Genomic DNA, 23,151 nt, shown 5'->3' on the forward strand with positions numbered 1-23,151 from the left:
CATTTGTGAATTATCTATCTGAAAAGGAGTTAGTGTTCAAAATACATAAGGATCTTCTACAACTCAGGAAACTACACCAAAATGGAAAACAAAACAGAACAAAAGCCAAATGACCTAATTTTAACAAATAGACAAAAGACTTGAATCGACATATCTCCAAAGAAAACATATAAATAGCCTAAAGTTATATGAAAGGATGCTCAATATCACTAATCATCCGGGAAATGCAGATCATAATCACAATGAGATATCCAATCACTCCTACTAGCATGGCTATTATTAAGAGAAAAAAAAAAAAAAGAAACAACTGTTGGTGAGGATGTGGACAAAAGGAAACACTTATGTACTGTTGGTGGAAATGTAGAATGGTACAGTCACTATAAAAAACAATAGGAAAGTTCCTCAAAAAGTTCAAAATAGACCTACCACTTACCCAGCAATCCCACTTCTGGGTATATATCCAAAAGAATAGAAATAAAGGTCTCAAAGAGTTATCAGCCTCACCATGTTTATGTAGCATAACTCACAATAGCCAAGATAAAAAAATCAACCTAAGTGCCCATCAACAGATCAATGGGTAAAGAAAATGTGATACATTTGGAATACATTGGAGTTCTGTTTATCCTTAAAAGAGGAAATCCTATAATTTGTATCCACATGGATAAACCTAAAGTACATTATGATAAGTGAAATAAACTGGCCACAGGTGAACAAATACTGCATGACTTTACTTATATGAGGTATCTAAAGTAGTCAAACTCATAACATCAGAGAATATAAGGCAATTGTCAGGGGCTGGGGGGAATGAGAGGGAAATGGGGGATTGTGGCTCAATGGGTATAAAGTTTCAGTTATGCAAAATGAATACATTCTAGAGATATGATATAGTACCAATAGTCAATAATACAATATTGTATACTTTTAAAAATGTTGAGAATGGATCTTTTGTTAAGTGTCCTTACTAACAACAACAACAAAAATTAAAACCCCCCAAATCAAACGCCTGCTCCACACACATAAGACCACAAATAAATTTTTGGAAGTGATGGACATATTTATTACCTTCATTGTGGTGATGATACCTTAGGTGTATGCATAGGTGAAAACTCAGAATGTGTAAGTTAAATCTGTGCAATTTTTGTATATTAATTATGTTACAATAAATGTTAAAAAAACAAAGATTCATTTGTTACCTCAAAACTAAGAAACTTATATCTTGATTATAAGTACCCACTGAGCAAAGCATGTATACATACAGCTTCCTAGAGTCAAAAGCAAGATGTATAAATGCAAATTTGTGGGAAAATGACAATTCATTTTAATCTACTAATTACTATAATAAGAGAGTTCCTAACCCAAGACTTAGAGCTTACTTTGAGATATCAAAAAGGTTAAATAAAATGAACTATGCAAGAGATCTAGCATAGAAGAAATAATGATTTATTTAAAAATATCTTCTCTTCCTACTCAATTTTCTGAATAAATAAGCGAAAACTTGACAATGTATAATTATTTTACTCTGGGTAAAATGATGAATTGAACATATGTCATGGGTATATTACAGGCCTATTCAGTGGATCACTTTTGAAGACATGTTTTCTACCAGGTGGCATCGATTCATATAACTCTAGTATTGCTGTTGGGCTTATACTGATTAGAACTGAGGCAGTGCTATGATTAATGACTTGGTAAACTGCAGTATGTAAACTAGCATAAAGAATTCTAATCCTGATATTTCTCTGCCTCTGCACAGCAACTAGAACCAGTTTTTCAAAATACCCAGGTCTCTGCTAAATGCCTACAAGGATTATTTCACATAATTTTGCACTAGTCCTATGATGTATATACTGTTCTTAATGACTTTCATTTGGCATGTAAGACACCAGAGTCATAGCGAATTGATGTAATATACACAGTGTTACAGAGCCAGTTAAAACAGTAGCTCTGCTTTAGGTCCATCTCACTCCAGAGCCCAAGAATCCTACATGCTAACATGGGTCTGATTTCACTCAACTCAGTGCGGATTTTTTAGTGGTCTCATTGTTTCTTCCTTTCTTTTAATTTTCAATTTAATTATTATTATTACTTTTTGGATACAGAGTCTTGCTGTGTCACGCAGGCTGGAGTGCGGTCGCACAATCATAACTCATTGTAATCTTGAACTCCTGGCCTCAAGCATTCCTCCTGCTTTGGTCTCCCAAAGTGCCGGGATTCTCATCAACTATTTTTCATTGAGTTCCTTCTAAAAGATTGTAAAATAAATTTTCTTTTATTATAAACGTCTTTGTCTTTGTATAATTATCAATTATAAAATTAATTTTTTAGTTTATAATAATAGCACTATTCAGATTTCCTCACTGAAATTGTAGGTAGATTTGACAATATGGAAAAGTATCTTGATCCGTTGATAACCTCTTTAGAAAACAGAATATTCTTTTCATGTGCAAATGAAAATAATTAATTTCATCATACAGCTTGCATGGTTTAGAGAAGCACTTTGTTCAAAATTTGAAATTGTTTTTGAAATTTAAAAAATGATTTTTCCCTTCATGTAAAAAACATAAGATAAAATAATACATTTATAATTATTATGTCTGAAAGTTGTTTCTGTATAAAGGTCATAGGCTTTGGCATCAAACAGAATTGGATTTAACTATTAGCTTGATAAGTACTACTTTTGTAACTTAGAGCCATTTTTTAACCTGGGATTTTCTCCCCTTACTTATATATTCAAAATACTAACATTTTAAATGTTAAAATTAATAATGTTAGTAATCATTATCATCTCACCACAAGCTATCTAATTTAATTAGTACTTTAATATGATAAAAGATTTTTTTTATTTTTCAGGAGAAACAGGGTTAGAGAGTATAACTAACTTTACTAATACAGTTAGTAAATATCAGGAAACAGATTTGAACCGAAGTATGTTAGTTTGCTAAGGCTACCATAACAAATACTATAGACTAGGTGGCTTAAAAACCAGAAATTTATTTCTCACAGTTCTGGAAACTTCAGGTGCAAAGTCAAGGTGTTGGCAGGTTTGGTTTTTCCTAAGACCTCTTTCTTTGGTTTACAGATGACCACTTGCTTCCTACCTGTGTCCTCACATGGTATATCCTAATCTTTTCTTATAGGACAGCCATCAGATTGCATTGGACCGCACCCTAATAATCTCATTTTAACTCAGTTACCGCTTTAAAGACTCTACCTCCAAAGACAGTCAAATTCTAAGATACCAGGCTCAGGGCTCCAGCTAACAGTAGGGGAGGGCACAATTCAGTCTTTAATTTCAAATTATGTTCCCAATAATCCAATTTGTATGCTGTCTTCTACAAATACAGAAGCTGCTTAATGAAACACTCAAAAGCCAAGTTTAAAATGAAAATTAAAGGAAGTTTATATTCGTCTTATCATTAAAGGCAAGAGTTCTAAACACTTGCCAAAAAGTTAATTTTTTTTATTTTTCTTTCTCCTCTTCCCCTTTCCTTTTTTCTTATCTTCATCCTCCTATTTTTCTCTTCTTTTTGTTTTTTCTATGTTGTTTTATTTTCTCTTCTTCACCATAATTTCTTCACGAGACTAATTATGTGATCCATACATTTAAATATTTTTTTAAAGTTTTTAGCTTATTTCATCCTCAGAGCAAACCTGCAATATAGAAAGTGTAAAAGAAACATTGCACTAGATATTTGTTGTAAATTGCTGCTTGGAGTTTGCCCCATGAAATCATGGGTCACATTTCAGCAGATATTTGGACAGAGTTTATACATTTAATTTCAGTTCCCACTCTCTAATTCTGTCCCTCTCTCTTTCTCTTACACTTTCTTCTAGAGTTTCCCACCTCAATATTCAATAGTTATTGTTTCCATGAAGTCTATCCTCAGGATATTCAAGCCACTAAAACTGAAGGTTTTTCTTTGAATTTTAGTTGTTTCACATGGCACAGGTAGGGACCTATTCTCAGATTAAAATGTTGAAAACATACCCAGTGTTTTTTTTGTTGTTTCTTCCAATTGTCAGTTCTTCCTGTTTTTGTTCATTCTTCAGTGTCTTCAAGTAGGTTTATGTCTTGTTCTGTTGTTTAGAATTTATAGTTATTACTGGTGGAGAGTTTGATCTGATATTATTATATCAGATAAAATGGAAGCAGAATGTTTAGATTATTGTTTTAATAATAAATTGTTTGTGATTCTATGTGATGATAACTGTACTTTTGTTATGCTTCCATTGAGAAAATGCATAAGAGTAAAGGCTGTTTGGATTTTGTATACTTAAAAAATGTTTGGATATGATCAATTACAATATATACATACACTTTAGCGATAATAGACATGGGATATGTTATTTGGTAGACAAATGAATCTGGTGTCTTCCAGACAGCTTTAGATAATATACAATATCAGATCAACTGATGTCCTGAATCTCTTTCTACAATAAACTCAATGGTAATTTAATGGTTTTGGTCATGTGAATGACAAATTTGTTATATATAATCTTAGTTTGAACACATATCAACTTAAGGCCTGGCTGGATAATTGTAGCAATATTTTTTAGCATTTTTATTCATAAAATCACGGGAGATAACATATTGTTGTATAAAATCTGATTACCACATCTAGAGTTTTTGGCAGAAAATCTGGCCTGTTTTCCAGAGTGTTAAAATATTTTCATAAACTCCCTCTGTCTAAAGAATGGAAATTAGAAGCTTTGGAGCCTGACATATTTGAATTTGAAGCATGGTTTACCACCAACTAGATTTTTACTTTATAAAAATTATTAATCTCTCTGAAGTTGGGAGGGAATGTGTCTAGTATTTGTTGAGGTTTCACTGTGTGGTAGTCTTTATGCTACCTTCTTTGATTATTAAAAGAAATACATAATTTAAGTATTCTTATTAGGTAAGAATATGCATATTTAACTGAATTTATGACTGGATAAATGATCTCTCCTAAATTATAAATATCATATATGAGGGAGCTAAATATTGTATTAAATTATTTCTCTCCAAAATAAGTACATTTTTCTATATGCCATATTACTTCCAGAGTCTGTTTCTATGCTTATGAGATGGATGAAGTACTTACTGCCACAGAAGATTACCATAAGAATTAAAATAAGCTTATTGTAAAAATGTATGAGATTGTTCATGCTTATTAAAGGTTTTGTTGTTGTCATTTCAGGTTCCCCTATTTCAGTAAACAAAAAGAACTACGAATCTTCAGGTGAAACTTTTGCAGCAAAAAAATGAATAGAAAGAAAAAACAAAAGAAATAGAATATTGTGCTTGATTTTTGTAGAATCAATACTTCCTTTTTGACAAGTCTTAAATCAAATTAGCAGAAACTTGAGGGAAATGCATATTGTATTTTTAAAAGTACACAGTAAAGTTGGAAATATTATGCATATGATGTATGTAAAGCAATAGTCCCTCACTTAGGCACAATTTTATTTTCCATAGTTTCAGTTATGTGTGGTCAACTGTGGTCCAAAAATACTAACAGGAAAATTTCAGAAACAAACAATTTGTAAGTTTTAAATTGTGCATCCTTCTGAATATCATGAAATCTCACATTGTCTTGCACTCTCCCACTGAGAACATGAATTATCCCTTCATCTAGCATATCGACGCTGTATTAACCACCCACTAGTCACTTAGTAGCTCCCTTGGCTATCACATAGACTGTTGTGATATCACAACTGTGTGTTCAAGTTACTCTTATTTTACTTAATAAGGGCCCCAAGTGCAAGAGTAGTGATGCTGGCAATTTGAATTTGCAAAAGTTTCTGTAAAATTGCCAAGTTTCTGTAAAAAGCTGCTGGCTTTTTATTTATTTATTTATTTATTTATTTATTTATTTATTTGAGACCAGGTCTTGCTCTGACTCCTAGGCTGGAGTGCAGTGGTGTGGTCACCACCTTAAGTGAAAAGTGAAACTTTATCATAGATATGTACGGTTGATGAAAAAATATAGTATATATAGAATTTGGTGCTATATGCAAGTTCAGGCATTCACTGGGGGGCTGGAACATTTTCTCCATAGATAAGGGGAAACAACTATACTATTATTTCTTATGAGAAGACAATAAAATCTGAAAATTGAAGCGAAGTGTTCTGAGGGTTACTCTTGGTTGATTGAAGAAGACAGCTTTTAAAAATCCAACTATGGGCCAGGCGCGGTGGCTCACAACTATAATCCCAGCACTTTGGGAGGCCAAGGCCGGCGGATCACGAGGTCAGGAGATCGAGACCATCCTGACTAACACGGTCAAAACCCGTCTCTACTAAAAATACAAAAAATTAGCCAGGCACGGTGGCAGGCGCCTGTAGTCCCAGCTACTCGGGAGGCTGAGGCAGGAAAATGGCGTGAACCCAGGAGGCAGAGCTTGCAGTGAGCCGAGACAGCACCACTGCAGTCCAGCCTGGGAGAAAAAGCGAGACTCTGTCTCAAAAAAAAAAAAAAAAAAAAAAAAATTCAACTATAAGAAGTGATAAATACTTATTATAAACACTATCATCACTGTGATTTGTCTCTATTTGGGTTCGGTGAGTTTTAAAATTGCTCAATGTTGACCCCAAGGAGAAAACAACATAGTGGAAACAATGTTGGGTTGATTTATATGTCATTCTACTGTAGAAATCCCTCTGTGCAAGCCTGGAATTGTGGTTTCGGATAATGTGGTAGGCAGGAGCACATTAAGTACTCAATGGCTAACACTCATAAGATTGTGATTTCCTTTCCTTTGAAACAACAAAGCAGAACTCTAATACGATGTGCAGTATCAGGCATGGCAGAGGAAGCATGCACAGTGTAAAGAGGGGAACGCTGCTATCTCTAGGATGTGCTTATGATGCGACAGTTGAGAGAGGGCAGAAGATGGAATGAATAAAGACTTTATCCTGTCAACTAGAACCACGTTAAACTTAACGATATGTATGGACGGTTTACATTTTGAACCTGGCCTGTTTCAATCCAATCCCATACTTGCTGTATGGTTATGGTTAATGACAAAAACAGTATGGACACATACATGCGCATGCACACACACACACACTCTCTCTCTCTCTCTCTCTCCCCCCAAATGTCTTTTGGATTTAAAAGAAAGTATCTGAATATTGAACATTCAGCCATTATATACAGTCATAAAACCTCTTTTAAAAAAAACAAGCAGAATGACTCTAAAGGCTGAATCTCTTCTTAGTAGACTTTTAAAAAGTAATATACATATAAAAAGATGCAAAGCATAAAGTTTCAGCTCATCAAATTTATACCTAGTAAACAAACCTATGTAACTCCCATCCACATGAAGAAAGAGAATATGATAGTCACCATATAGATAGAAGGAGGACTTCATGTTCCTGTCCACTTATTACCTCACCTCTAAATGCAACCATGATCTTTCCTTCCATCATTACAGATTAATCTGGGCTGGTTTTAAATACATGTAAATAGAATCATCATATGGGCTCTCTTAGGTTAGGCTTCTTTTATTCAACATTATATTGAAGATTTATTTTATTACATGCCACATTAGGTACTTTATTTTTATTTTTGGAGATTTTCTCATTGAATAAATATACCATGATTTCTTTATCCATTTTACTATTACTGAACATCTAGTTTGTTTTCAGGCTTTGTCTATTAGAAAGGTATTATTGTTTAACCTCTTAGTCCTATCTTTTAGTGCACATATGGGCATATTTTTGTTAGGTTTCTTACCAGAAATTCATTATTTTGAATTTTAGGATCTGTGTATGTATGTATGCATGTATTTATCTATCTATCTACCTATATATGTATGTATGAATGTATCTATCTATCAATCTGTCAGCAAATAGTTTCTAAAGTTGCTAGAACAATTTCGTCTCCCACCAGTAATGAATTAGAGTTCCTAATGTTCTTCAGCATCACCAATTCTCATAATGCAGATATTGCTTCATATTTTCAGTGGTTTATAAGACAAACATTTGCTCCTCTTACAAATCTGCGTATCGATTGGTGAGGCTCTGCTTCAGGCTGAAGGTTTGGTTCAGGTTTGCTTTGTATGTCTTCATTTTCCTTGGTCCAGGGCATAGTTTTCTTATAAAAAATGACAAGAGCAGCAGGTAAGAACTTTGCAATATCCTTTAAGGCTTCTGCCCAGATTGTCACTTTTGCCCACATTCTGTTGGCAAAAGCAAGTCATATGCACAGGTCAAAAATCAATTGTCTAAAGTTTATAATACTCTGCCTACTCTAATGTTAAGGTATGGCAACAATCGTATGGCAAGGACCATAGATATATATAATTCTAATACAGAGGACAGAATAATCAGGATTTTTTTTTATTTTATTTTAGTCAGCATGGTGGGAATATATTGATACCCCATTGTTGATTTAAGTTGCATTTTACTAAGTATGAATGCTGATTATCATTTTAAATGCTTATTTGATATCCAGATATCTTTTGTGAAGTGACAAAGTTTTCTTTTTTTACCATTTTCTGATTATATTGTCTATTATTTATTCTTTGATATATGAACACTATATATTCTGAATATCAGTCCTTTGTAAATTATATGTTGCAAATATTTTATCCCAGTATGTAGTTTATATATGTGCCCTATTAATGGTATATTTTGATGTTCTTAACTTTAATAGGGTACACATTATTTTTTTCTAATTTTTCAACTACTTCTCATCTTCTTGAAGATATGTTTCCTACTCTTAGTCAAAAATGTACTTGTTGTTATAACTCTCACATGTAGATCTGCAATCCATTTGAAATTGATTTTTCTATATCCTGTTACTTAGAGAATCAAATTCATTATTTTCACGATAAAATCCAAATTGAGCTAGCACTACTTATGAAAGAAAAGTCCATTTTATTTCCCATTGAATTGCATTGGCAAGTCTCTCAAAAGTCAAGGATCCATGTATTAGTAGCTATCTGTCCAGATTCTCTATTCTGCATCATCACTCCATTTGTCTATATAGTTAATGCAAATTTCACACTGCCCTAATTTTACTTGCTTGATAATAAATCTTGATATGTGTTAGTATAAATCCTAAAGCTTTCATTCCTTTTTATGGTTACCTCGACTCTTTATAGTATTTTGCTTTTTGACAGAAAATCAACAAACAGCTTGCCAATATCCACAAAAACCTACTTACAGCTTTTGATTACAATGAAACTATAAATCACCTAGGAGGAAATTGATATCTTTACAGTATTATGTTTTCCACTCAGTAAAACTAGAATAACTTAAAGAATGTATAATTAAACTATGAATATTTAAGAAATTATCAATGACAATGAATACAAAATTAGAAATATTATTTTTCTATATCAGAAAAATTAAATATTCATCTTATAGCTATTATTATTTGAAGTGTTTTTGTTTTGTTTTTTATTTGTATTATCAAGCATCCTAAAGCATTTTAAATTACTCAGTTTGCTTTTATATATTTCTATTGAACAATGTATGATTTTTCTATAAGTTGTGAAAAAAATCAACTCAGTTATATAGAACCAGAGATAATAAACAGGAATAAAGTGCATGTTCCCCCAGTTTAAAAAATCATATTAGGTATTTAAAAATATGTATAATTTTCTTATTTTCCAATGTTTCCTGTTAGTCTACGACTAAACACAAAGTTTTTTTGGCTGTTTTGACTATATTATTCTATGGATATTTGCATACATGTGCACTTGTCTAAAGGTATATTCTACTGAATTTTTTGACACTGAATTATTACATCGTATTTTTTCATGAAAATATACACATGCACACAAGCACACATAGTTGATATTGATACTGAACCTGATATTGATACACATCAATGAGCTAGGTATTATACACAAATGCATACACCCAATGCAAAAGTTCAAAACCATCTTTCTTATCTACCATCCACAGCCTCATAGTTCTTAATACTCTGTTGTTATTGTGTATTGTGGTGCTGATTATACAGGTATATTAGTTTACTTGCAATGTCATAATAAATACCACAGACTAGGTGGCTCAAACAACAGAAATTTATATTCTTCCAACTTCTGGATAAGCCCAAGCAGGGTTGGTTTCTTCTGAGGCCTTTCTCCTTGGCTTGTAGATAACGGTCTTCTCCTCCTTGGTTGTTCACTCTGTACCAGTCCGTGACCTATTCTTTTATATGGATCTCAACCAGATGAAATTACGGCTCTGCTAATAACCTGATTTTAACTAAATTGCTTCTTTAAAGAGCCTATCTCTAAATACAGCTACTGTCTCAGATACTAGGTGTTAGAACTTCAACATATGAATTGTGGGGAAACACAATTTAGCCCATAGCAGCAGATGTGTTTAATTTGTGATATTAATTGATCTGTATACTTACAATATGAGTAAACACACACGCGTAATTTAAGGAGTTCCAAATAACAGTTTGTGATCTGCCCTCTACTGCCCCTGGTCCTGGTTCTTTGGCTGTATCTGAATCTTTTCTTTCCTTTAACCTGGGCTGACTCTGCTTAATAACAATTCTTCAAACTTTGAATTCATCTCCATGTTTTAGAAGATTTTAAAATAACTTTTATTTTATTTCTGAGGTCCTGAGGGCCTAGGCTACCCCCATAGCTCTCTGATCTAGTGGGTGCTGCTGGTTGTTTTGGATTGCCTATGCAAATTGGAACCTGTGTAGTCCTCTATTATTAATCTCCCAGGCTTTCTTCAGACCTCCTTGCAGTCAGTGGGTTTTACTCTCCCTCCAGATGAGTATTTATGTCTACTTCTGTGTTATTTGGCCGTGAGGATCCTCAGAACTTCCTTTTCTGCCCACTTCCACTATTTCAGTACAGCTGGTACTTGCACACAGAGGCTGCAGGTTTTGTGGTAGTGGATGTTTAGTCTCATATACCAAAGTGCACGCTCATACCTTGTCACTTAATTTGCTGCAAGCCGTTGTCTGTATTTATTCTGTTCTTTTTGTCATCCTGGCTGCTATTCATCTTTTAAGAGAGATCTGACAATGATTATGAATCCTGAGTCATGGTCGGACATGGTGGCTCACGCCTGTAATCCCAGCACTCTGGGAGGTGGAGGCGCCGGGATCACTTGAAGTCAGGAATTTGAGACCAGCCTGGCCAACATAGCGAAACCCCATCTCTACTAAAAATACAAAAATTAGCCACCAGTTGTAGCGGCGCACGCGAGTAATCCCAGTTACTCAAGAGGCTGAGGCACGAGAATCTCTTGAGCCTGGGAAGCGGAGGTTGCAGTGAGCCTAGATCGTGCCACTGTACTCCAGCCTGGGTGAAAGAGTGAGACTTTGTTTCAAAATAAAATAAATAAATAAATACATACATAAATACATACTGAGTCAAGGTCAAGGTTTTATCCCAGCAGCAAGTCCTTACTTTCAGGTTTTAATGTTTCAGTTTTTTATAATAACATTCTATTAATTTCAGAAGATGAAAAATGATGAAGGTAAACACTGAATGCTCGAAAAGTAAAACTAGGTAACCTAATCAGAGTACATTTTAATTGTATGATTGTGCATCATTTCGGTGATCCTGCCTATATAATTGTTAGTTTTCTGAGCATTTGGACTTACTCTATAAAATTCTGACAAATAACAGTGATTATTAGAGAGATGGTTTCTAGTGGCATGTATATACAGTGTTCAGTGGACTTTAGACATTCAATACATTTAACTTTTAGCAAATATTAGGCCATACTTAACTCAAAGCTATAATTTGATAAATTTGTCCAAAAAATAAAGCTTATGCATGTATTCCAAAAAAGTAAATGGAATAGATACTATAAATATTATATATTTTATTAAATGATTTATGTTACATAATATATAATACATATTGCTTATATCACTATGAGAATATGTCATATATATGCTTTTATTTTTAAAATATCTGCTTATAATAATACCTATTCCCACAATAATAAAGATGTAAATTAAAAATACATTTCGGTTGTCATCTGGTATCCTTTTTGCGATATAACCACTATTACTATTTACTGTATTTTTTTAGATTTTTAAGTGCACAAGAATATCCACTTATATCAATTTACTGCATAAATGAGAATATTCTATGCACATTCCTCTGAATCTTTCCTCTTTAATAATATCTTAAGGGTTTTTTGCATATTAACACATAGCTCATTATTTTATCATATACATAATATTTCATTGAGTGGGTATCACCATAATTTATTTATTTCAGCCCTTACCGAGGTATGTATCCATTGTTTACAGTAATCTATTACATATTATTATGATCTAAATGTGTCCCCCCCAAAACATTCATATGTTGAAACTAAATTACCAATTTGATTAGTACAAAGTTGGACATCTGGGAGGTAATTAATTCGTACATAAGGATTAACACCCTTATAAAAGACGTTTCAGAGAGCTGTTAATGCCTTTTGCTCCTTCACTGGCCTCATCTTCACTCCAAGATGATGCAGCGAGAAGCCTTCTCCAGACGCCAATCTTCCATCACCTGGATTTTTGACTTCCCAGTTTCCAAAACTGTGAGAAATACATTTCTATTACTTATAAGTTACCAAGTGTTATATATTGTTATAGCAGTATCAACAAATTGTGACAAAATTGGTAAAGAGAAGTAGGGTATTAGAACAAGTACTTAAAAATGTGGAAGCAGCTTTGGAACTGGGCAGTGGGTAGAAGCTAAAAGAGTTGGGAAGTGAATGCTAGAGAAAGCCTACATTTCCATGAATGCACCATTAAGGGCAATTCTTGTGATGGCTCAGAAGCAGAAGAGAGCTGTAGGGAAAGTCTGAATCTTCTCAGAGATTACTTAAGTGGTTGTGATGAGAATACTGGTAGAAATATGGACAGTAAAGGCCATTTTGATGAGGTCTCAGATGGAAGTGGAGAACAAGATATTGAAAACTCAAAGAAATGTCATCCTTGTTATAAAGTGACAGCACTTGGCTAAATTGTGTCCCTCTCCTAGTGCTTTATGGAAGACAGAACTCTGAGCAATCTTTTTTTGTTGTGTCTCTGCCAGGCTTTGGTATCAGGATGATGCTGGCCTCATAAAATGAGTTAGGGAGGATTCCCTCTTTTTCTATTGATTGGAATAGTTTCAGAAGGAATGGTACCAGCTCCTCCTTGTACCTCTGGTAGAATTCGGCTGTGAATCCATCTGGTCCTGGACTTTTTTTGGTTGGTAAGCTATTAATTATTGCCTCAATTTCAGAGCCTGTTGTTGGTCTATTCAGAGATTCAACTTCTTCCTGGTTTAGTCTTGGGAGGGTGTATGTGTCGAGGAATTTATCCATTTCTTCTAGATTTTCTAGTTTATTTGCGTAGAGGTGTTTGTAGTATTCTCTGATGGTAGTTTGTATTTCTGTGGGATCGGTGGTGATACCCCTTTATCATTTTTTATTGTGTCTGTTTGATTCTTCTCTCTTTTCTTCTTTATTCGTCTTGCTAGTGGTCTAGAGAATTTAGACCAATATCCCTGATGAACATCGAAGCAAAAATCCTCAATAAAATACTGGCAAACCGAATCCAGCAGCACATCAAAAAGCTTATCTACCATGATCAAGTGGGCTTCATCCCTGGGATGCAAGGCTGGTTCAACATATGCAAATCAATAAACATAATCCAGCATATAAACAGAATCAATGACAAAAGCCATGTGATTATCTCAATAGATGCAGAAAAGGCCTTTGACAAAATTCAACAACACTTCATGCTAAAAACTCTTAATAAATTAGGTATTGATGGGACGTATCTCAAAATAATAAGAGCTATCTATGACAAACCCACAGCCAATATCATACTGAATGGGCAAAAACTGGAAGCATTCCCTTTGAAAACTGGCACAAGACAGGGATGCCCTCTCTAATCACTCGTATTCAACATAGTATTGATAGTGTTGGAAGTTCTGGCCAGGGCAATTAGGCAGGAGAAGGAAATAAAGGGTATTCAATTAGGAAAAGAGGAAGTCAAATTGTCCCTGTTTGCAGATGACATGATTGTATATCTAGAAAACCCCATTGTCTCAGCCCAAAATCTCCTTAAGCCGATAGGCAACTTCAGCAAAGTCTCAGGATACAAAATCAATGTGCAAAAACCACAAGCATTCTTACACACAAATAACAGACAATCAGAGAGCCAAATCATGAGTGAACTCCCATTCACAATTGCTTCAAAGAGAATAAAATACCTAGGAATCTAACTGACAAGGGATGTGAAGGACCTCTTCAAGGAGAACCACAAACCACTGCTCAATGAAATAAAAGAGGATACAAACAAATGGAAGAACATTCCATGCTCATGGGTAGGAAGAATCAATATCGTGAAAATGGCCATACTGCCCAAGGTAATTTATAGATTCAATGCCATCCCCATCAAGCTACCAATGACTTTCTTCACAGAATTGAAAAAACTACTTTAAAGTTCATATGGAACCAAAAAAGAGCCCACATTGTTATGTCAATCCTAAGCCAAAAGAACAAAGCTGGAGGCATCACGCTACCTAACTTCAAACTACACTACAAGGCTACAGTAACCAAAACAGCATGGTACTGCTACCAAAACAGAGATATAGACCAGTGGAATAGAACAGAGCCCTCGGAAATAATGCCACATATCTACAACTATCTGATCTTTGACAAACCTGACAAAAACAAGAAATGGGGAAAGGATTCCCTATTTAATAAATGGTGCTTGGAAAACTGGCTAGCCAGATGTAGAGAGCTGAAACTGGATCCCTTCCTTACACCTTATACAAAAATTAATTCAAGATGGACTAAAGACTTAAATGTTAGACCTAAAACCATAAAAACCCTGGAAGAAAACCTAGGCAATACCATTCAGGACATAGGCATGGGCAAGGACTTCATGTCTAAAACACCAAAAACAATGGCAACAAAAGCCAAAATTGACAAATGGGATCTAATTAAATTAAAGAGCTTCTGCACAGCAGAAGAAACTATCATCAGACTGAACAGGCAACCTACAGAATGGGAGAAAATTTTTGCAACCTACTCATCTGACAAAGGGCTAATATCCAGAATCTACAATGAACTCAAACAAATTTACAAGAAAAAAACAAACAACCCCATAAACAAGTGGGCGAATGATATGAACAGACACTTCTCAAAAGAAGACATTTATGCAGCCAAAAGACACATGAAAAAATGTTCATCATCACTGGCCATCAGAGAAATGCAATTCAAAACCACAATGAGATACCATCTCACACCAGTTAGAATGGCGATCATTAAAAAGTCAGGAAAAAACAGGTGCTGGAGAGGATGTGGAGAAATAGGAACACTTTTACACTGTTGGTGGGATGGTAAACTAGTTCAACCATTGTGGAAGTCAGTGTGGCCATTCCTCAGGGATCTAGAACTAGAAATACCATTTGACCCAGCAACCCCATTGCTGGGTATATACCCGAAGGATTATAAATCATGCTGCTATAAAGACACATGCACACGTATGTTTATTGCGGCACTATTTGCAATAGCAAAGACTTGGAACCAAGACTAATGTCCAACAATGAGAGACTGGATTAAGAAAATATGGCACATATACACCATGGAATACTATGCAGCCATAAAAAAGATGAGTTCATGTCCTTTGTAGGGACATGGATGAAGCTGGAAAACATCATTCTCAGCAAACTATCGCAAGAACAAAAAAACAAACACCACATGTTCTCACTCATAGGTGGGAATTGTACAATGAGAACACTTGGACACAGGAAGGGGAACATCACACACCAGGGCCTTTTGTGGGGTGGGGGGACGGGGGAGGGATAGCATTTGGAGATATACGTAATGTTAAATGACGAGTTACTGGGTTCAGCACACCAACATGGCACACGTATACATATGTAACTAACCTGCACATTGTGCACATGTACCCTAAAACTTAAAGTATAATAATAATAAAAGGAACTTTAAGCAATCAACTAGGATAGCTGGCAGAAGAAATATCTAAGTAAAGTTTTGAGAGTGCAGCATGGCTTTACTTGACTGCTTATAGAAAAACGTAAGAGGAGAGGAAAAAAAGGATAAAAATGAAATTTATAATCAAAGGGGAAGCAGAATGTAATGAGTTGAAAATTCATACCCTCTAGAAAATGAGAAAATGTATTCAAGCGATAACACCAGGGGTGTGGCCAAGTGACTGATAAAGGAGAATCATATGGATGGGCAGAAACCAGGTGGTATTCATTAAGACCAAAAAAAAAAAAAAAAAAATGACTCCACAGGCATTTGGAGATCTTAGAGGCTGCCAATTCCATGATAGGCCCAGAGTGCCACAGCCTTGAGGGCAGAATGGTTTCAAAGGAGGGTCCCAAGGAACACACAGGACCTTGGGGCTCACTGCCCAGGGCCACCTGAAGATTGTGTTTCCCACATTCTGGCAGCGTTCCTCAGATGATCCAGGTGTGGCTTACACAGACCCTAGTGCCGCTCAGGCCATCTCTCCGGACCACACATGAATTGGTGGTAAACTTTGTTGGCATCCAAATGGTGCTAACTCTGCAGGTGTGCAGAGTGTATGAGCTGTAGAGGCATGGCTACCCTTACCTAGATTTCAAAACATGCCTGGGACAGACTCAAGGCCCAGGAAGAGAACTGTCCCAGGGGCAAAGCTGCTGCAGAGAGGCTTCACTAGGGCAAGGCCTAGTGGACCCATGGGAGTGAGGCTACTACTAAGACTGCAGAATGGTAGAGCCACCAGTGTGCAACCATAGCCTGAGAGAGCTACAGGAACAAGAATCAAGGTGTGAGATCTGTGATTTTGGTTGTGCCCTGCAAAGTTGTGAAAGTTGGGCTCTGAGAGCCTTGGGGGCCCAAATTCCTGCTTCAGTGTGTTCATAAGGCAGGAAATGAAGTCAGAGAAGATTATCCTCAAGGCTCAATATTTAATGGTTTGCTCTGTTGAGTTTTGGACTTACTTGGGGCTAATTATCCCTTTCTTCTTCTCTATATTTTCCTGTTGGATAGGAATATTTACCCTATCTCTGTCTCACCATTGTATTTTGTAAGCATGTAACTTGTTTGAGTTCATATATTCACAGCTAGAGACCAATTTGCCTCAGGATCAATCAATTGTACCTTGAGTCTTATTAATTTCTGACTTAGAAATGAGAAGTATTTTGGGCTATTGAGATAAAATGAATGTATTTTTCAGGTAACAAGGACATGGATTTGTGGGGAGTGGAGGGCAGGGGTGAAATGCTGTGGTCTGAATGTGTCTTCTCAAATTGCAAATGTTGAATCTTAATCTCCAATGTAATAGTGTTGGAAGGTTGGGACCATGGGAAGTAATCATGAGGGCCTTGTGCTCATGAATGGTAGTAATGTGCTTTTAAAAGACTCTTCAGAGAGCTTCTATCTCCTTTTGGCTTTCTACGTGCTGCCATGTGACAACACAGCAGTAAGGTGTCATCTTGGCGGCAAAGAGTGAGCCTTCACCAGACAGAATCTGCTGGCTCCTTGACCTTGGACTTCCCAGCCTCCAGAGCCATGAGAAATAAACTTCTATTATTTATAAATTACCCATTTTAAGGTATTTTGTTATAGTGGTATGAATTGGCTAAGACACAAACAATGTTGCAATAAAAATCTCATTATGCAAATAACATGGTTTTGAGGATTAAAAAAAATCTTTCCTGCAATCCAAATGCTTAGATACTTTTATAGTCTCAAAAAAATTAAAAAATCATGAACTTTCTGAAAAATATATTGAGAGATAAAAAATAGACAGGGATAAATAAGAAAAAACAGATAATTTTAAAAAATAAAGAAAAAATAAAAAGTATTCAAGAACTTAAAACTAGAAGTCTACCTGCTAAATCTGCCTAGAGGAACTTAGAAGAACACTGCAGAACTGCTGTATCATATAGAGTAATTTCCATATTAAATGATTAAGATATTTAAGCTGAGTATAAAAACAACATTAAACAAGAAATATGGTCTTTAAAGATAAGCATTAAGTAAACAACTCAGATGGTTTTACTCTAAATAGATTTTTAAATACATGATATAAAGATGCTGTGGCATAGTTATACCTTAAGATATTATTCAGCCTTAAAAAGGAAATCCTGCCATTTGTGACAACATGAATGAACTATGAGGACATTTCCTAGAAGACATAAGCCATATAAAAAAGAGAAACACTGCATGATCAAACTTACATGGGGAATCTTAAAAAAAAAATGAATACATAAAAACAAAGAGCATAGAAAGGTGCTTTACCAGAATTTGAAGGAGTGGGGAAAATTAGGAGAGATATATCAAAAAGCACAAATACGCAATTATCTCAGATGAGCAAGGCTAGAATGTACAGCATGAGAATTGTAGGTAATAATATGGTATACAGGAAATTTGCTTGAAAGTAAAAAAAATTTAATTTTGTGAGATGATCGATATGTTAATTTATTTGACTGTAGTAGACACTTCACTATGTATGTGTATATAAACCATCAAGCTGTACACCTTGAATATATACAATAAAAATTAAAAAGATATAGTTAAAATAAAGGCAATATTTATAATATTAGTAAATAGAAAATAATTTGAGAAAATTAAATATACAGAGAAAATAAAACCATTTTGATAGATGAAATATCTAAAGCATACTGAAGATCAATTAAATATAAATCTTTAAATATTTAGTAAGAGCATGAAATATATGAAAGGGGGAACCAACAAGAATACAATAGAGGCATTCTTTAATAATTTGACTTCATAACGATGAAAAAGCAAATAAAATATATAGAACAGACGTGATAAATCGTCATTCATTCTGGGACTACACACATAAAGTAAGTGTGTTAGACAATCTTGTGTAGATCATGAACTACTATATGTGAAATACAATTATAGGCACTGGTAGTTCTAATTAATATACTCCTTTAATTAAATAATCTGAATTAGTGACCGAAAATGACAAAATTATAAGTGTTGCACTTAACGTAATTATCTAGGAAATTTAAGAATATGACCTGGAAACAAAAGTCATTTTAGGGTATGAGAAATGAGTAAAATACCCTCATTTTACTCATGAGGTAAATGAGAAGAAGTAATACAGAAACATAGAGAAACATAAATACTTTTGCATTTGCAGTATCCAGAAAAAACTGAAATAGAGAAAAAGCTTCATTCACAGTGACAAGAAAATATAAAATATTTATGTATGTGTTTTGGTACAAATAATAATTACTAAAATATAATGTGGATAATAAAAAAATTAGCAGAGAAGCCTATCATGTTCTAAGATTAGAATAAATATTGTAAAAATATCAATGAAATTATACTTATACATGCACAAGTAATGTAATCTAAAAAGTTTAATAATTTTGGAACTTGATATCAGGAAGATAGTCAAAGTACTTTTTAGAAGATATTGAGAGATGAAGTTCATACTGCTAAAGAGTTAAATAAAATATAACTCTCTAATAGCTGAAAAGTAAAACTGTGACTATAATGGTCCCACTATAATGGTGAGATCAATCAATGAAACCAAATGGAATAGAAATATAAGGTCTGTGTGTGTGCGTGTGTGTGTGAGTGAGTTAGTGTGTGTTTTTTTAAAGCATGTGTGTAGATCTTCTAGAATATTATATAATACAGTAGATACACAATTACAAAAAACATGGGCACATAATTTTTAATTAACTGAATTTAAGTGATGTATTAACTCTTTGGAAATCATGATATATTGTGTATAACCATGTTAAAATAAAACGAAGAAAAAATAACATATATGGTGTTCAGATTTTAAGTGATCTTTGCTCTTCAATGATGGAAAGACAATAAGGGTGTAATCATGCAAAGTAAGATTAAGTACATTAATACAAAATAAAAATTATTTGTCTTAGATTTTTGTGCGGGGTTGGAGGAAACATATGAGTCTTTTTTTTTTTAAGTATAACAATTGCTCTTTGTCTTGTAAGTGGCTGCAAGTCATGATGCATTTTCATTTCCCCTACAGGCTACTAGACAAGATTACACAATATGCTATTCCCAGTGCTGCCACCCATTCTTGTTAGGCTTTGCATTTCCTATATTCGGTCTATCATTTGTGTAAAGAGGAATGAGTTGCTTTCTCCGACGTTTCATAGAGCCAGGTAGGCATGAAGTCTGGCAATAGAACAGCAGTGACTGACATTATCCGTAACTCAACTTGCAGACAAGGATTGGTTGATCAATAAAAGCATTCTTTTGACATAGATGACAATTTATTCTTTATTGATTGTCAAATGATGAGTAATATCCTGCATCTGGCATTCTTGCCTCTTATACATTATCCTGTGACTCCATTTCTGTTGTTGACTGATTCTTGACTATAATTATAGGTTTCTTTCCTTATTCAAAGTGGGTAGTATAGCATTTTTTCCACTTTATCTGCATACTAACTGTTTAAATTTGATTTATATCACCTGACTCAATTTTTCTTTCACAGGTTTCTCATAAAATGATGCTTGCAATGAAATCACTGATAACAAAATAGATTTATCTAATTTGCTCTTGCCCGTAGCACATACGGCAATATCTCCAAGAGCACTGCAGTTAACCTTGCTCCTTGGAGTCTTGAAGAGCTATTTTAGGTGTGCTTACTATGTACATGTCCCTTTCTGCTTTGCCTTCGTTTTGTTCTAAATGCCTCACGGTGCCTGTAGAAGGTTTGTTACCACTCTCTCTGCTGATTGCCTGTGCAGGCATCTCCAAATACAAAGGAGGTAACACTAAATATCACTACCTTTAAGAACTGTACTGCCTTCCCCAAACTGACCCCTGAGGTTACTGCATTCTTCAGTTTGATAGATTAACTCTTCTGCCTGATGATTGCTGCCTTTAGTAAGCAAGGACACACACACGCACAGGTGTAGAATCTTTTAACAATCTCTCTCGGAGCTTTTCATTAAAAAATAATAAATAAATAAAAAGCTCCTTCATTCTCTGCCTGCAGACGCTTGTTTTCCCTTTGGGATCAGGAGCTTCTGCACGATCAAATCTTAGTGACACACGATTTAGTCAGAATTGCCTCTTTCTACAGAAGACTGAGGCTTTGCTATTGCACCATGCTTAGCATGGTGTCAATCTTCTATTTTGGACCATGTGTCAAATCTTCTATTTCTCAGTTTTCTCCAAGGGTAATCTAATAAACCCATATGGAAATAAGCTCACAAGAATCTCTACTTTATCTAATTAACTATTCTCGGGTATCTCTGATAGAATTTACACTGAAATTGGAACCCTAGTCATACTTATCTTCTTGAAACAATGTTTTGCTTTTAATAGACAATACGTTGTTGCTGTGGGAAAGTGAAATGCATATAAAAGAAATAAGGAAATACATGCAACCCCGTGTCTCAGAAATAACTGGTAACTTTGTGTTAGTTAATATTTGATGAGTAAATATAAAAACGTAGTTATATGCAGCAAGACAGATATTATTTACATGGATAGTACTGTATGTTAATAAATAAATGGAAGTATACGTTTTGTATTGTGTTTTAACCGGTATTTTCCAGTTAACATTGTAACATGAGAGCTATTCTGTTAATAAATATCATTTCACATTTTTATTACTAAGAGTGCTCTTAGTAAGAATAATTATAATATTAATCATAGCTAACATCTGATGTTTGTATATGCTACCAGACTGTATTTCATATGCTTTATATACACCAGCTCATGCCTTTGTCTCAACCTCCCTATGAGTTACACACATCCTATTAGTATTACCACTCTAGAGATATAAAATAAGAATTTGGGACTTTCTGGTAGTACACAATAGTTCTTAGATAGCAAGTGTTCATTCACAGAAGAAAAAAATAGAAAAGCTCAACAAAATATGACACTTGGGCCTACTAATCATTAAAAACAAAAAATAAAATAAGAATGGCCTATCTTCAATTCATCCACAGTATTTTCAAATTAAAAATGTTAATTTTGTTTAGTGATTGAATGTGAGATTGAAGTTATCCTTGCATAATGATGGTGAATATGTAAGTTACTGCAGCAATTTGGGGCTACAAATCAAAATTTAATTTATAGAAATTTATACATAATATATTTGGACAAGTGTCCAATGTTTGATGCCATAGAATTTGCATCCCATCACTTTTCATCAGAGTGTTAACTTTAGAAACAAGGTAAATGTCTTGTAGTTGTACAAGTTAAATGTCTTGTAATTGTACAATTGTTATATAAATTATGTTACATTCATATACTTGACTATTGCAAAATTAGTATAAATATATTTGATTATGTTGATAGGTAGAAATGACTATTGTTGAGTGGTAAGACTATCACATTATTCTACTTTTTCCTTGATGCATTTGTATCTAACTCTTTAGACAAAAGAATGAAAAGTTAGTAAGGAGGGGAAAAGATATTTAATTTAAAAAAAAATCATAATTTACCCTTCCAAAAATTTTTATATGAAATGACCTCATCTACTAGTGTCATTATTTAAATTAAAATATATTTTAAATGATTTTTAAATTTTATGTGAAGCTTTGCAATGTATATTTAAATTTTTCTCTAAAAATTGGTAAACAGTTTATCACAATACTTTTAGAAATATTTCTCCTTTCATCATTATCTAATGATGTATCCTAGATTGTATATTACATGTTTTATGCTCTCTTCCTGGGTTGTATATTGTTTTCCTCTCAATTAACTGTCATATTGCCTCAGTTTTACAGTATTTTAACTAATTCCTTAAATTACAATTTCAAATGATTTCTTGCTGGTAAAATGCCAGGTTTTCTATTCATTATTAAGTTTTTATTTCTAATATTGAAAATCATATTCCATGCTTTAATTACAGGAAGTAATTTGTTACATTTGTCGGGTAACTTGACAATTTACAAAGCATATGCCTATACACCATCCTACAATCTGATAAAAACACTGTCAATGAAGTGCTATCATTATGATTCTTTAACAGATGAGCAAACTGAGGTTCACTGAGGTTATCACCAGCTGAAGAAATTATTACATTGTGAAGATGGATTCATATCTAATTCCTGTATTTCATTGAACCTCAGAGGCCATTGACTGTAAGATATACCATTATTTTATGCATCAAAAAATGAAAACATTGTTAATTAAATCATGAAAGAGTTTATTCAGATCACTTTAACCCTATATTTTAATCTTAT

This window comes from Homo sapiens, chromosome 9 (assembly GCF_000001405.40).
Source record: "Homo sapiens chromosome 9, GRCh38.p14 Primary Assembly".
NCBI classification, from domain to species: Eukaryota; Metazoa; Chordata; class Mammalia; order Primates; family Hominidae; genus Homo; species Homo sapiens.